The following is a 16,818-nucleotide window of genomic DNA, read 5'->3' as shown; positions in this document are numbered from 1 at the left end:
ATAACTCATTGCAGCCTCTACCTCCTGGGCTCAAACGATCCTCCTGCCTTTACCTCCCAAGTAGCTGGGTCTGCAGGAGCATGCCACCATGCCTGGCTAATTAGAAAATAATTTTCTTTTTCTGTAGAGATGAGGGTGTCACTATGTTGCTCAGACTGGTTCTCAGACTCCTGGTCTCAAGCAATCCTCCTGCCTTGGCCTCCCAAAGTGTTGGGATTACAAGCGTAAGCTACTACACCTGTAGTGGCCCCAACATTTTCTGAGTGTGATTCTGTATGTGTGGGGTTCTCTGTGTTTTCCAGTTCTAATTTTATAATTGGCTGAAATTTGAACTTTCTGCCTGGACCATTAGGGTACCTTTTAGTGCAGGCCCATAGTTGGCAACAATTCAACTAAATAGTCCTTAAAGTAATGTGTGTTGGCATTTACCATTCCTCACCAAAGCGACATCTTCCAATTCCTTTCTCCTTGCCACATTTTCGTTTTTCGTTTGTTCTTTCTTTTCCCAAAGTCTTTTTTTCTTTTTTTTCATTTACTTTTTGGCTGTGATGATACCTATAATTTAAGGATCCTAATAGTTTCTTAGTACTTCAGTGTTAGTGACCAGAAAGAATTGTAGTTGCTTCCTAAACATCTGACTTAATACATTTCCAAGAACAGACTGGGGAAAATCTGTAGCAACATCTGTAAAATACTTTTAGTTCCTTGCTGAAAGGGGGAAATATAAAGAAGCAGTTGGTTTTTAGAAGTTGACTAAGTCTGTGGTTTGAAATTTGTATGCCAATGATTTTAGCAAAGAAAAACATTTGATTTCCCCTCCTTAGGGGTGAGGGGTGGGATTTGCCACAAAGAGCAAAATAATCAGTGTATTTTCTCAGAAATTCTCTTATTTTCTTGAGAACTTTAGTGTAAATACTAAATAAATGTTGTGGAATGATTTCAGATTAATTTCACTATCTGTCACATTCATATGGAGATTACCCATTGAAGCAGTTGTATGTAATGATTTTCTGTTATATAGATTTGAATATAAGTTGGTTTATGCTAAGATAGTCCTCAGTTTGTTATATTAAAGACATTCCTTTCAGACATTTTCTTCTCTGTACTACTTTATCTTAGTGAATGGCAACCAGTGTGACAAGCTTAAAACCCTTAAGGAATCTCTGTTTTTCCTCCTTTCTTCCTTCCGTTATCAGTTTTGTTATTATCTCAAGATGGACTTCCTCTCTGTCACAGCTTACTCCAGGCCCTAATTATATCAGCCAGTCACTTAGATGGCTTCATTAGCTTCTTACCTGGTTGCCCTTAATCAACTCAGCATTTTCTCCACATTCACACTGGAATGATCTTACAAGCCATATTTCCTAATGGACTACTGTGCTTAAAAACCTCTGTATCTTTTTTAATCTACAGCACAGATTTTGTACCTTAACATATGGTTTTTTTTTCATCAGATAAACCTCTGCTATTGAGACATAAATGTTATATTTCCTCTGTTGAGAATTTTGTATTTTCCCTATTCCCATTAGTGAAGAACATTTTGCTGATCTGTGCTTTCATCATTTACAGTAGTTTCTTCCAACTATGGAGCACCTTAAAATATGGAATTTGCCTTTTAAACTCCATACGCATCCTTCTTCCTTTCTCCATTTGAACTTATCTGGATAGTAGCTTGACATAGAGGACTGTCAGGGCTCTACCTACTTGACTAGATTACTAACTACAGTAGTTTTGCAAATATTTACTTGAGCACAAATATTATTGCTTATATTTATTAGGCAAATAAAGTACCTGTATTAGTCCATTTTCACACTGCTATAAAGAACAACTCAAGACTGGGTAATTTATAGAGGAAAGAGGTTTAATTGACTCAAGTTCCACATGGCTGGAGAGGCCTCAGGAAACTTACAATCTTGGTGGAAGGTGAAGGGAAGCAAGACACGTCTTCTCATGGTGGCAGGAGAGAGAGAGAGCAAAGGGGGAAAGTGTCCCACTTTAAAACCATTAGAACTCATGAGGACTCACTGTGAAGAGAGAACAGCATGGGGGAAACCACCCCCATGATCCAATCACCTCCCACCAGGTCACTTCCTGCACACATGGGGATTACAATCCAAGATGAAATTTGGACGGGGACACAGAGCCAAACCATATCAGTACCTGACATTTATTATCCAACCTTTCAGTAGCTTTCTGAAAAGAGATTATTGTCCTTATTTTAGAGATAAAGAAATGAGATACAGATAGATTGGCCCTTAGTTGATAGCCAGTACATTTTTGTTGAGTGAATTAGTAAACTCTTTCCTGATAGTATATATTTATCTACATGTTCTTCAAAGATGTATGTGTGTTTGAGTGTGTGCGTGCATGTAATGGAGTTGTGCATCTGTTTTATTTTATTTTATGACAGAGTCTCGCTCTGTCACTCAAGCTGGAGTGCAATGACTCAGCCTCTGCTCTGTGCAACCTCTGCCTCCAGGGTTCAAGTGATTCTCATGCCTCAGCCTCCTAAGTAGCTGGGATTACAGGTGTGCACCACGATGCCCAGCTGATTTTTTTTTTTTTTTTTTTTTTTTTTGCAGAGTCTTGCTCTTGTGCCCAGGCTGGAGTGCAGTGATGCAATTTCGGCTCACTGCAACCTCCACCTCCTGGGTTCAAGCGATTCTCCTGCCTCAGCCTCCCGAGTAGCTGGGATTACAGGTGCCTGCCCAGCTAATTTTTGTATTTTTAGTAGAGACAGGGTTTCACCATGTTGGCCAGGCTGGTTTCGAACTCCTGACCTGAGGTGATCCACCCTCCTTGGCCTCCCAAAGTGCTGGGATTGCAAGCTGCGCCCGGCTGCTAATTTTTATATGTTTAGTAAAGCAGGGTTTCGCCATGTTGGCCAGGCTGGTCTCAAACTCTTGGGCTCAAGTGATTGCCTTACCTCTGCCTCCCAAAGTGCTGAGATTACAGGCGTGAGCCACCACACCCGGTAGCAGTTGTGCATTTTAAAGGATCAAAGTTGTAATAAGCTCCTTTAAAATGTGGGAGAAATAGATAAGCTGAGGCTGTTAATATTTGGGAAAAGAGCCTAAAGGTAGAGAAGGAAGCTAGCCTCATGTGTGTTAAGAGTCAGAGGAATTAATTTGGAGTTAAAGTTAGAAGAAATGTCAGTTGCATAAGATGAGCAGGTGAACTTATGAAAAATACGGATTCTTAGTCTCCATCTCCTCAGATAACTGAGTGAAGTTGGGGTGAGGCTTTGGATTTGTACTTTTGCAAAGTTTTAGAGGTGATTCATATGAACAGCTAGGATTTGAATCCTGTATAGCTGACCAAAATTAAAGATCTAACAAAGAGAATTTCAGATTATTTTGCATATAAAACTAAGGGGAGTCAGGAAATAGGCTTAGAGTGTTGGAAAGAGCATTTTCACCACAAATTTCCCACCTTGATAAGAGACCCAGCCAGAAAGAACTATACAGTTCTAGAGGAGTGATTTTATTCTAATCGAATGATGGAGTGGGGATAGAGGATTGAAAGTCCAGACATGTACTACACACAGAAAAAAAACCCAAAACCAAAAACTGAACTATACCTATGTGTTCTACTAGTAGTTTTCTATTTGCTTTTAGTTTGTTGCTGGTTTATTCAAGAATTACTGAATGAATACCTACTGTTCACCCACTGTGTAGGGAAAAGATAGCAGAGAGATGAGGAAAAGTATAATGGGATAAAGAAGAATCTTATTTAATAAATCAAATGATTTCAACAAAAGGGATCACTGGTAAATTGGGCACACCTTCTGGTTTTCACCTGGGGGAATAATTTTTCTGTGGCCGTTCATCTTAGTTCAACAAACATTTATTGTGTCAGACACTCTACTAACCGTTAGGAGATATTCATGCATAAATGAAAGACAGTCTTTGCCCTGGGCTATGTTAGTCTTTAGTGGAAAAGACAGATACATGAACAGAGGCTTTCATTATAATTTAGGAATTACTTTAATAGTGGTGAAAGGGGCAGATTTAAAAATATTTAGGTGATAAAAATGGTAGGAATTGGTGATTGATTGAATGTTGGGGGTTGAGAAGAAGTCATAGGATCATTCACGGATTTCCAGTGTGGGTGACTTGATAAGGATGGAGGAGTAACATTAACTCACATCCAAAATACAGAATTAGAAATGTATTTGTGAGGGGTGAGAGGGGAAATCAGTTTTGCGTTCAGTATGTATAACACGGCTCAAACACATCTAAGTGGAGGCAGTATAGCATAGTGGGAAGGTGTTTTGGCTTGGGAATCAGATCACATAGGTTTATGACTAAGCTATACCACTAGCTGCTTCTAGCTGTATGACTTTGAGATGACTAACCAACCTCACCAAGTCCCAGTTTCTGTGGGGACAGTACTAGTACATACTACACAGGAGTTGTGAAAATTAAAAGAAATAATGTATGGTAAGCACTTATCACAGCACTAGGCACATAGTGAGACCTCACTAGTATGTCAGGAAATATTATCTGTGTAGCAGACAGTGTGAACTCAGGAGACAGCAGAGCTGGACATACAGTTTTGGGAGTCATTAAAATATAGGCTAACATAATGACAGTAGGTAAGATTCCTATAGAGAATGGACCCCTGAGGAAGAGTAATAGTGAACAGGGGATGGACAGAAGAGGAATAAAATCCAAATGAAAAGCGGTGTGATTGTTTTGCATGTATAGAAGCTTTGTAGATACTTGTGCCTCATAGAGAAGTTACAACTTGAGGTTTATAATTGGAGCACAACCAGGAATATTTATGATCTTCAAAAAATCCACAAATTTAAAATTTCACATGGATTTCTTTTTAAAGCAAACTTCCTATTTAAATAGTAATAAAATCAGCCCCTCCCCACTTTTAAACTACTTGCCAGTAGACTTTTTAATTTTTTCTGAGAAGCTATTTGAAACTCTACTGAATGATGTGGACACAAATTATTTGCTTGAGTAGTGTTGATACTTTGTGGTAACCTTTATTTCCATATATATTCATCAACTGTCTTCTTGTTAGAGCCTTAAAAACTTTGTTTTAATAGCTTAGGAAATGATATGGTTTGGCTCTGTGGCTCCACCCAAAAAGACAGGTGAGATCTATATTGCAATAATTGCTCGGTGGTGGTTGGCCACAGTGCCCTTTCCAGCCAAGTCACGCACAATGAAGAGGAGTAAACAGTAGTTGATCCCATTTGTCTTAAAAGGTGTTTAAGTTTGGATTTGCAGTGTGTTGTAAAATGAAGCTAGATTTTTATTTAAGGGAGAAATAGTCCTAAACAGTGAAATAAATGTTGACCTCTAAGAGAAATCTTTATTCAGGTTTTTAAGTAGAAAGCCTTCCTCTCCCCTCCCCTCCTCTCCCCTCCCCTCCTCTCCCCTCCCCTCCCCTCCCCTCCCTTCTTTTTTGAGACGGAGTTTCGCTCTTGTTGCCCAGGCGGGAGTGCAGTGGTGCAATCTTGGCTCACCGCAACCTCTGACCCCCAGATTCAAGTGATTCTCCTGCCTCAGCCTCCCGAGTAGCTAGGATTATAGGCGCCCGCCACTACACCTAGCTAATTTTTTGTATTTTTGATAGAGACGGGGTTTCACCATGTTGGGCAGGCTGGTCTTGAACTCCTGACCTCATGATTCCCCTGCCTTAGCCTCCCAAAGTGCTGGGATTACAGGCGTGAGCCACCACACCCGGCGGTAATGAAATATATTAATATATGGGAGAAAATTGTAGAATTAATGAGCTAGTGTTTAGCTATCTAGATGATTTTGAAGATATAAACGATTTAAAAAACTGTCTGCAACCTGCTGGTACACATAAATTAACTTTTGTTTGTTTGTTTGTTTGTCTTTTTGAGATGGAGTCTCACTCTGTTGCCCAGGCTGGAGTGCAGTGGCACAATCTTGGCTCACTGCAACCTCCACCGTCTGGGTTCAAGCAATTCTCCTGCCTCAGCCTCCCAAGTAGCTGGGATTACAGACGTGTGCCACCATGTCCAGCTGATTTTTATATTTTTAGTAGAGGTCTCATCATGTTGGCCAGGCTGGTCTTGAACTCCTGCCCTTAGGTGATGCACCCGTGTTGGCCTCCCAAAGTGCTGGGATTACAGGCGTGAGCCACCGTGCCTGGCCCAAATTAACATTTTTTAGGTTGGTAGTGGTTATTTCACTTTTTTTCGTAAGGATGAATAACACAAAGATTCCCAGCAGTAGCCTCCTGCACATTCCTGGTTAGCCCTAGTCCCACTCTCCACGCCAGCAGCAACATAGTGTGTGTGTGTGTGTGTGTGTGTGTGTGTGTGTGTGTGTGTGTGTATGTGTGTGTGTGTGTGTGTGTCTGTCTACTAGTATTCATAAAAACATACTATGTGCCTTATCAGCTCAGGCAGTAGAGGAGGCCAAAGCAGCATAGGACATAATCTATGCCAGGGAATTCAGAGCTGCAGAGGAATGCAAAGCCAAAACATAAGTAATGAACTGATTTTCTAATAAGGATTAATGTTAGGAGGCAGGATGTTAGTGAGTCTTGAAGAATGCTTGCCACTTAGCTAAGCAGAAGAGACCATTTTAGAAACAGAGAACAGTGTGAGTAAAAGCCCAGAGGTGGACAAAAAACAATCATTGCCCTGGTGTGGGATAGTGAAGAGAATATAGAGACTAAGTTGGAGTTGGCAACCATTTAAATGTTTCCTGATTTAATTTTTCTGGTAGTTTACTCTAAAACTAGATAATAATATATTTATTTTTTGATTTTCCAACTTTAGATAAAAATGTTGACTCTTGGGTATGAAAAATGTTTTTGCTTATTTGTACTGTACCCCTGTTTCTTGCTACCCTCAATATAAGTGTTACTGTTTTTTACAATGTGGTTCTCTATTGGTTACATTTGTAACTGTAAATAATCTCTATGTTATTTGTGGCTTATACATTCCCCAAAAAGATATATGGAATTTAACAGTAAGTATTAAATAAGCTCTTATGATTTTAGGAGGAAGAAAAAATTGAGAATGTTGCATGTAAGTCCTGGGCTAACAGAAAAATAATTTATACTACTTTTGAAATGAGAAATAATATCTTTTTTTCTTTTAGGTCGAACAAGTAAAATTACTTGACCGATTCAGTACCAGCAACAAGTCATTAACAGGAACACTGTATCTTACGGCTACACATCTATTATTTATCGACTCTCATCAAAAAGAAACCTGGGTAAGGAGGACCGCAGCTGTACTATTTATCATAATAATAATGGACTTGGTCTGTCATGTTTTATTTTGAATGTGTATAACACAATTTTTAATCATTGGTTACCTATCTCAACCAAAATATTTTTTGGTCTCCAGATCACTCCTGCCCTCCCTTCTAATAAATCAGTTATAGAATATGTAACATGGAATTCTATAAAATACCACACTCTTATCTCCATAAATAATTATGAAATACCTGTTGTTCCTAGGCCGGATGCGGTGGCTCACGCCTGTAATCCCAGCACTTTGGGAGGCCGAGGTGGGTGGATCACGAGGTCAGGAGTTCAAGACCAGCCTGGCCAACATAGTGAAACCCCATCTCTACTAAAAATACAAAAAATTAGCTGGGCATGGCGATGGGTGCCTGTAATCCCAGCTACTTGGGAGGGTGAGGCAGGAGAATTGCTTGAACTTGAGAGGCGGAGGTTGCAGTGAGCCGAGATCGCGCCATTGCACTCCAGCCTGGGTGACAGTGTGAGACTCTGTCTCAAAAAAAAAAAAAAAAAATCCTATTGTTCCTTTTAATTTTTAAAAATCTAAAAAATATGTACACATTAACAGATCAAACGGATTGTTTGGTATATTCCACAGTGTTTTTATACAAATTTTAATTAGGGTACTTATTTTTTTTGCTAGTATAAATGTTGCAATGTACATATACATGTAAACAACATTTTGTGTATTTATATGAGACATATGTATATGTTTCTTTCTGTATATTTGCCAGAGTTTCTCTGGGATATTTGTCTGGGAGTAAAATTATTGGGTCTTGAATAAGTGCATATATAACCTTACTAAGTATGTCACCTCTTCAAAATGGTTGTTCCAATTTATTCTCAGTAGTGTATTACACAATGTTGTACATCCTCAACAACATTGATATTGTCAATTTAAAATTTTTTGCCTATCTAGTAGATGTCCAATTGTAATGTTAATGAGCTGATTATAAAGAATTTACCCTTTTCAGATAAAGAAAAAGGAAAGAGTTTCCTTTTCTTTTTTTATTGGGTTGTTTGTCTTTTATTGATTTTATAAAAGTTCTGGGCTACAAATAGAATTACCATTCAACCCAGCAATCCTTTTACTGGATATATACTCAAAGGAAAATAAATCAACCAAAAAGACACGGGCATTTGCATGTTTGTTGCAGCGCTGTTCACAATAGCAAAGCTATGGAATCAACCTAGGTGCCCATTAGCAGTGGATTGGATAAAGAAAAAGTGGTGCATATTCACCACAGCCATAAAAAGAGAACAAAATCATGGCCTTTACAGCAACATGGATGCAGGTGGAAGCCATTATTCTAAATGAATTAACACAAACAAAAAACCGTATACTGCGTGTTCTCACTTATAAGTGGGAGCTTAACATTGGGTACATACGAGCACAAAGATGGGAACAATAGACATTAATAGACTAATAGAGGTGGGAGGGAGGGAAGTAGAGGAACAAGGGTTGAAAAACTACCTCTTGGGTACTGTGTTCACTGTCTGGGCTATGGGTTCAGTCAAAGCTCAAACCTCAGAATCATTCAGTATATTCATATTACAAACCTGCACATGTACCCACTGAATTAAAAAAAAAAGTATTATTCAAGAAAACAAATAAAGAGTTCTAGGTTATAATGCTTTGTCAGATGTGTGTGTCATAGATAGCTTTTCCCAGTGTGTGGCTTGTCTTCTCTGTTTTTTATTTTATATGTCTTTCAGTTGAAGTTTATATTTTTAATGTTATAGATTTTTCATTTTTTTCTTTTATTGTTTGTGCTCTGTTGTGACTTAAGAAATCCTTTCCTATGTCAAAGTCATAAAGGTTCTTCTATATTTTCTTCTAAAAGCTTAAGTTTGATCCTGTAAGTTGTTAATACATCTGGGAAATATTTTGGTGTATGATGTGACTAGGGATTCATTTTTATGTTTTCGTATAGACGACCGGCGCCATTTATTGACTGTTTCATTCCATTCGTCTTTAGTACCAGCTCTGTCATAAAAACATCTTCCATGTATGTGAGGCTCTGCTTTTGAGTTTTCTTTTCTATTCGTTTGGTATACTGACTACACTGTACCACACTGTTTTATTGACTATAGCTTTTAAATAAATTTTGATATCAAGTAGAGCATACCCTCCCAACTTGTTCTTCAAAATTGCCATGGCTATTTTGGATTCTTTGTTCTTCCTTTTCTGTTTTAGAATTCATTTAGCACACATTTATTGAGCATATACAGTGTGTTTCATATCACTATTCTAGATATTTTGGAAACAATAGCCAATAATAACAGGTACAAATTCTATCCTCATGGAGCCAACATTCTAGTGCTGAAAGATATTGATAACATCACCAATAAGTAGGTAGATAAGTAAAATACATAGTGATAAGTGCTAAGCAGAAAAAGAAGTAGGAAAGGTGGTTAGAATATGGGGCTTGTGTCTCTGTGCCTGAGAGGAAGAGACTTGGGCATGTTTCTGTGCCACTAGCTCTGCCAGCTTTTAGAACCTCCACTTTATAGATGAAGAAGCTGAAGCTCAGGCAAGTGGCAATTCATTCATTGTTACACAGGCAGTGTAGAGTAGTAAAATGAGCTCACGTAGACTGTGTTGTCAGGTAGCTTTGGGTTCAAATGTCAGCTCTGCTGTTCACTGCTTGGGTGACTATGTCAGGGTGCTTTTGGCTGTAAGTAAATGAATACCTGACTGAACATGGTGCCAAACCTTGCAAAGCAGGAGAGGTGGGTAGGCTTTCCTCAGTAGCCCCATTGCTTATCAGGGAGGAGAAGCTCTCTCAGAAGGCCCCCAGCTAACTTTCCCTAACATCTGATTGTTTGAAAATCCGGACACTTGGCTACTCCTACCTGAAAAGGAGGCAGAGAATGTAGATCCTAGTATTTTTTATCTCTTGAGGGAAAAGGATGTTGCAAGTAAGGAAGGGGGGGAGGAATGGCAGACCAACAGTGTCTGCCAAAAAGTATGTAACTTTCGAGCTTAGCACCCACATAAAATGGGTATATAGCATCAGTCATCATGTAGGGCTTTTGTGAGTCTTAGATGAAAGAAAATATGAAAAACATCTGTGCGTAAAACATAGTAGTGGCGTAAATCATAGCTGCTCATACTATTTTTCTAAGCAGTTGAATCAAGATTAGAGGTCAATTATGCCTCCCAGTCCAGAGATTGATGTTGCTCTGTGGTACACCCCTGTACTGCACATACTGTCATACTGTTCTCTTCTCTTTCTCTCTTTGATTGTACTCTTCTGATTTCCCCAAGAAGGCTAACCAATTGATATATGATTCTATATCAGCTGTTAAGGAAACTCACTTGAGATACTGATCTTGGAGAAGTTGTATTCCCTAGAGGCACTGGATCCCTTCTTCATCCAGTGTTTGTCCAAGAATTGCCAGGAATTTTACCTAGCAGTACCTTCTGAAATAATTAGTCATATTATCATCCACTCCATCTACCCCTCCTTTGTCCACTTGCTTCAGTATTTTCTCTATTATCCATCTCGTAGAGATATAAATGAAGGCTTCCCGTATAGCTATTCCCTCAGCTGCTGGGAATGTAGTTTGAGGGGCAACAAAAAGATATCTGTGTTATTCTCTACTCTCCTATTGTTGTCTTTTAAATGCTTTCTTATCAGTATATTCCCTTATGTTTGCCCTAAATGAAGTTTGTTTAATATACTAGAGCCATAGAAATGAACATTTTAGATCCAGAAGGGGCCGTATCAACCTTATATCCTTTTTCTCACTTTACAGTTGATTATGTTTTCAAAATCACATAACTAGTTAGTGGTAGGACCAGGTTTCTTCATCATTTTCTTCCTGCAAATACTTTTGGGTTTTTATAATTAAAATCAGAACAGTGATGTACAGGTTGAATATCCCCAATCCAAAAATTCAGCACTGACATGATGTTCAAAGGAAATGCTCATTGGAGCATTTCAGATTTCAGATTTTCAGATTAGGGATGTCAATTGATAAGTATAATGCAAATATACCAAAATCTTTAAAAATCCAAAATTTGAAATACTTCTAGTCCCAAACATTTTGGATAAAGGGTTCTCAACTTGTAATATTACAGTTAGCTTTTATTCCTTATTCTCTGTTTAAATGTTATTATTAGATCATTTTTAGTAACTTGTCACAGGCGCATTAATATAAGTGATAATGGTGCTAAATCTTAGCCGTAAGGACTATATATGTGTGTGTGTGTGTTAATTATTTGTTCTCTATGTAGTTTTAATTTCCATTGACAACTGCTTCTCTCATTGTTTTTCAAGCTTTTCTTGATTATTTAAATGCATTTAATTTTGCAGGTGAACTTTAGATTTAAGATGTATAATTAATATTAACATATAATGTAATAATTACATAATATATGTGTATTATATAAATAATCATCCCTCACTACAAAACAAAGCAGATTGGAATTTTTAAACTGAAATTTATGTTGAATTTTTAGATTAATTTGGGATAAATGGATCTCTTGCATGATTAGGAGCCTATGATCTTTTATTCTCCAGAAAAGTTTTCTATAAATATTTTAATAGGAGTGTTATTAAGAAAAAGTAGGCATTTTTAGTAGCAAACAAAATATTATTGGTAGTAGGTGAGAACAATAAGCATATGTTTAAAATACCATCAAGTATTGAGTTTATAGTAGGACTTTTTATTCATTCATTTAGTAAACTCTTATTGTGATAAAGGAGGTATCAGGGATGACATCCATATTTCTGGCTTGGGCATTCACATTTAAAAAATTAAAGTTGAAGTGTGTGATATATAACATTTGCAAGCTTTTTGATTTGAGGAGGGCAATTATAATGTTCCAGGTACTGTGTTAGGTGCTGGAGATGTAATGTTGATCAACTCTGCACCATGCCACCCCCAAGGTCCTCAGCCTCCCTCCTGTGCTCATGGGCACCCAAAATTTCAGCCTCAGAAGCAGTTTCCAGAGGGGCCAAGGCAGCTAGGGGCTGGTGTGTCAGTACCGCCCCAAGCACATGCACACCCAGCTAGATCACGACAGTATCTGGGCTTGGCTATTGGGACATGTCCACAACTTTGCTCTACCACAGAACAGGCAGTGGGAGTTGGGAGAGGCCAGGGAGTGGGAGCAGGCACTTCTGAACCTGCAGGGGGAGGGGGTTTCCTAGGCCCCCAAGAGCACAGGGATGCCTGGGTCCAGAGCCATGGCTGGGCGGCTGCAGCTGTGCCCGGGAGTGTGGCTCCTGCCCTGCCAACTCGGTAGGGTATGGGGCTTCCACTGGGATCACCTGTTCCCAGGTCTTGCCTGCTCTGCAGAGCGCGCAACCCTGGCTGCACCTCCCCCACTGCAGCTGGCATCCTCACAGTGGCCTTCACTGTGAAGGAAAAGTATAGCTTGATCTGCAGGAAGAAAAGGGAGGGGGCCTAACTTACTTGGAAAGGGTTGTGGGGCATGTCAGGCTACGCTTTTGGTGTTATTATGAGTTTTGAGCAAAGACCAGAAATGTGTCTAGAAGTTCTTAGATGAAGAGGTAGTGTTAACAGTATTCCAGTTAGTGGGAGCATCTGACCATGTGTAAAGGAGCTCGGTGCATTTGAGGAGCCAAAAGAAGGCTGTTGTCACTAGAACATAGTCAGTGATCGGGAGAGGGACTGGAAATGACTAGATTCCCTTCCTTTTCTTAATCTGCTTTTCAATGTTCACTACTGTGTTGTAGAAAATGGATCAGAGGGTCAGGGGTAGGTATGGAGAGAGCATTTAGGAGGCTGTTTGTTTATAGTAGTTCAGGTGAGAAACAGTGGGGACATTACAACTAGGGATGTGACAGTAGAGATAGAGAGAAGTAGATGGGTTACAGAAACATGTAGGAGATGCAGTTCCCAGGGTCTGATAATGTCTTGAGTATGTGGACTGATGGAGGAGGGATCAGAGTGACACCCATATTTCTGACTTGGGCATTCAGTCATTTTAAAAACGTGAAGTTTGAGTGAGTATGTAACATTTTCAACTTTTTTTGAGGAAGACATTCTTAAACTTATGCATTCTAGAAGAGAATATTTAGTGCTTTCCATGTTGATGACCTGGATGTTTTTTCATGCTGTAGATATTACACCACCATATTGCCTCAGTAGAGAAACTTGCTTTGACTACTTCTGGATGCCCCCTTGTGATACAGTGCAAGAACTTCAGAACTGTGCATTTCATTGTTCCCAGAGAAAGAGATTGCCATGATATTTACAACTCTTTGCTACAACTGTCAAAACAAGGTATTGTTCTTAGAGACCAAAGCTTACATGCTCAATTTGAGATGGGTTATCTAAGATACTTTATTTAATGTTTTATTATTGTTATTTTATCCTTTTTTGCTCTGACAGTCAGGTTCTTTTGTACTCTATCTCCCCCATATTGGCCTGAAAGTAATTAGAAACTATTGATCTGATATAAGAATGGTGTCATCAGAAGGGGTAATGGTAAGGAAAAAGTAAAGCATTTATAGTAGAGACTTACAAAACCACAGGTTTATATTAATCTTTTAAGTCTATTGATGGCAAGTAGCACAATGTATTTTTTAAGTGGGTATTTCACAATCAAAGAGAATGACTTGGAAGTTGATATTACGGAATGATAAAAGGAAGGTCAAGGTCCTTTGGTGGCAGTGGGACTAAAATATTTAATAGATTTGAGTGGGAGATACAGAAGATAAGCAGAGAAACAAGAGAGGGTGAATTCTATTTTAGTAGAAGTAAGGTTGAGAGGGATAGCAGTCCTAAAGAAGAACCTTTTTTTTTTTTTTTTTTTGAGATGGAATCTTACTCTCTCGCCCAGACTGGAGTGCAGTGGCACAATCTCAGCTCACTGCAACCTCCGCCTCCCAGGTTCAAGCAGTTCCCTGCCTCAGCTTCCTGAGTAGCTGGGATTACAGGCAGCCACCACCACACCCGGCTAATTTTTGTATTTTTAGAAGAGACGGGGTTTCACCATCTTGGCCAGGCTGGTCTTGAACTCCTGACCTTGTGATCCACCCTCCTCGGCCTCCCAAAGTGTTGGGATTGCAGGCATGAGCCACTAAAGAAGAATCTTATCGCTACTTATGCCCTGTGGATCTGGTGACTTCCTTCCCCAAACATGACTTGAATTATATGTCGGACTGGATTTTGGTTGAGCAATCTGGATTGCTGCCTGCAAGAGTGGTCTCAGAGCAGGTCTTTGTTCATTCTTCTCTCTGAGCACATCAGCCTGTAACATCCTATTGTCTCAAATTAAGCCAGAGTTTATAGTAAGGATGATTCTGAAGCACCCCAAGAGTTCTGTGCAACAGTTGCCATTTTTAGTCAACAGTGTCCTATAGGGATGTATAATGCAGTTTCATGTTCTGTATCTGTCTCTAGCTTCTCATTATAACATTAGTCTATTTTACATCTCATTTGGGAAAGTGATTAGTAGGAAATGTCTATTAGTGTCTTTATCATTTTACTTTTAAGAAAAATACTGCAATAGAGGATTTAACATGTAAGTCTAACTATTCTGACTGTATTTATTAGCTTTACTTTTGTTGATGACAAATCCAATCTCAGATTGATATGTGTGCTTTTTAGGTATAATCATTTGCATACTGAACATCAAATGTATTCAGGTATTAGCCATCTCTTTGAAGATTGTAAAGAGAAAAATGAAGGAAGAAAACTGAAAAATTACATTTATTTGTAGTGTATAAGTCTTATAAATTGCACTTAACATTTAAAATTTTGTATTCTGTAGCAAAATATGAAGATCTCTATGCATTTTCTTATAATCCCAAACAAAATGATTCAGAACGACTACAAGGCTGGCAGCTCATTGATCTCGCTGAGGAATATAAGAGGATGGGAGTGCCAAACTCACACTGGCAGTTGTCTGATGCCAACCGGGACTACAAGGTACCTTAACAACATTTTGGAGAAATTCAGAAAGTGTTAGTACCAGAGGGTTAGAGAGTGTCAGCGTAGCAAGTTGTCTGTGTACTGAAATGTGCTGTTCTTGCATTTAATAAGGTTTAAAGGTTTTTAAAGTGGTTTTGAACTAAGAATACAATGGTTATGTTTTGTTTGATATTTACAGATTTGTGAAACTTACCCCAGAGAACTTTATGTTCCCCGGATAGCAAGCAAACCAATAATTGTTGGTAGTTCCAAGTTCCGGAGCAAGGGAAGATTCCCAGTTCTTTCCTACTATCATCAAGATAAGGAGGTAGGATGCTTTTCTTTTGATTTTAGAAATAAAGTATAACTCATCTTCAGGTTTAAGTATCTAAAATAACACTTTTTTTTTTTTTTTGAGATAGGGTCTCGCTCTGTTGCCGAAGCTGGAGTGCAGTGGCACCATCTTGGCTCACTGCAACCTCCACCTCTCGGTTCAAGCAGTTCTTGTGCCTCAGCCTCCCGAGCACCTGGGACTGCAGGCGCGTGCCACCATGCCTGGCTAATTTTAGTAGAGACGAGGTTTTGCCACGTTGACCAGGCTGGTCTTGAACTCCTGACCTCAAGTGATCCACCTGCCTTAACCTCCCAAAATACTGGGATTACAGGTGTGAGCCACTGTGCCTGGATCAAGAACACTATTTTTTACATTAAAAGATTGCTAATGGAGAAGCACTGGCTTTTTGTTTAATTACGTTTTTGCAAATTTAAAACAAAACTACTCAAATACAGAAATTTTCATACTTCTTGTCATCTTTTCTTGACCCTCCCTTCCTTCCAGCAGTGACTTGAAAATAATAGAATTAGTTAACAGATAGGATCCTCTTTCTTTCCTGTGGTTCTCTTTTGATTCTGCTTGTGTTTGGGAAAACCAGATAGTTTTGATAAGACAACCGCTGAGACAAGGGAGAGAACCAAGGGCATTTCAGGGTCCCATTTTAATAGTAAGCTCAAATCAAAAGGATTTTGCAACATGAAACAGTGGAGGAGGCATCTTTATAGTGAGATGCTGTAATAAGGGTTGCTTATATTAGTAAAACTTACCTTTGTAGCCTACTAATAGAAGGCCAAGAGGTACTGTATGTTAAATGGTTTACATGTATGTCTTCCTAACTTTGTAAGGTAGGCTTTACTAATTACCTGTAACTTTCAAGTGGGGAAACTGACATTCAAAGAGGGTAAATTACTTCCTTGTCTCACAGCAAGTAAGTTGAGGAATTCTGTGCCATTTCTGACTCCCAGTCCTTTGGGACCTGATTTTGTTTTCTCTGAGAACTTTTAGAATCCTCTTTTTCCCCAGTGTTCTGAAATTTCTTTTTTTTTTTTTTTTTTTTTTGAGATGGAGTTTCTCTTGTTGCCCAGGCTGGAGTTCAATGGCGTGATCTCGGCTCACAGCAACCTCCACCTCCCGGGTTCAAGCGATTCTCCTGCCCCAGCCTCCTGAGTAGCTGGGACTACAGGCGCCTGCCACCATGCCCAGCCAATTTTTGTATTTCTAGTAGAGACAGGGTTTTACCGTGTTGGCTAGTCTGGTCTTGAACTCCTGACGTCAAGTGATCCACCCGCCTCGGCCTCCCAAAGTGCTAAGATTACAGGTGTGAGCCACTGCGCCCTGCTTGT

The 16,818-nt window shown here is 39.2% G+C and overlaps 1 protein-coding gene across 13 annotated transcripts in view; it reads left to right on the top strand.

The window, feature by feature from the left end:
* Positions 1–16,818, top strand: part of MTMR6 (myotubularin related protein 6) — a 41,267-nt gene that overhangs the window by 6,201 nt on the left and 18,248 nt on the right. For 10 of the 13 annotated variants that reach the window (NR_169592.1, NM_001385237.1, NM_001385234.1 and 7 more), the window contains exons 2-5: positions 7,101–7,217; positions 13,347–13,509; positions 15,002–15,159; positions 15,341–15,469. Coding sequence is in view for 12 of the 13 variants with exons in the window: in NM_001385237.1 (NP_001372166.1) it covers positions 7,101–7,217; positions 13,347–13,509; positions 15,002–15,159; positions 15,341–15,469 (567 nt within the window). In the remaining variant the exon portion in view is untranslated. The remainder of the gene's footprint in view (positions 1–7,100; positions 7,218–13,346; positions 13,510–15,001; positions 15,160–15,340; positions 15,470–16,818) is intronic. The other 3 variants (NM_001385231.1, NM_001385238.1, NM_001385233.1) reach the window with 3 other exon arrangements.

This window comes from Homo sapiens, chromosome 13 (genome assembly GCF_000001405.40).
Source record: "Homo sapiens chromosome 13, GRCh38.p14 Primary Assembly".
In the NCBI taxonomy this organism is placed as follows: Eukaryota; Metazoa; Chordata; class Mammalia; order Primates; family Hominidae; genus Homo; species Homo sapiens.
This window is presented reverse-complemented; position numbering and strand designations above follow the sequence as displayed.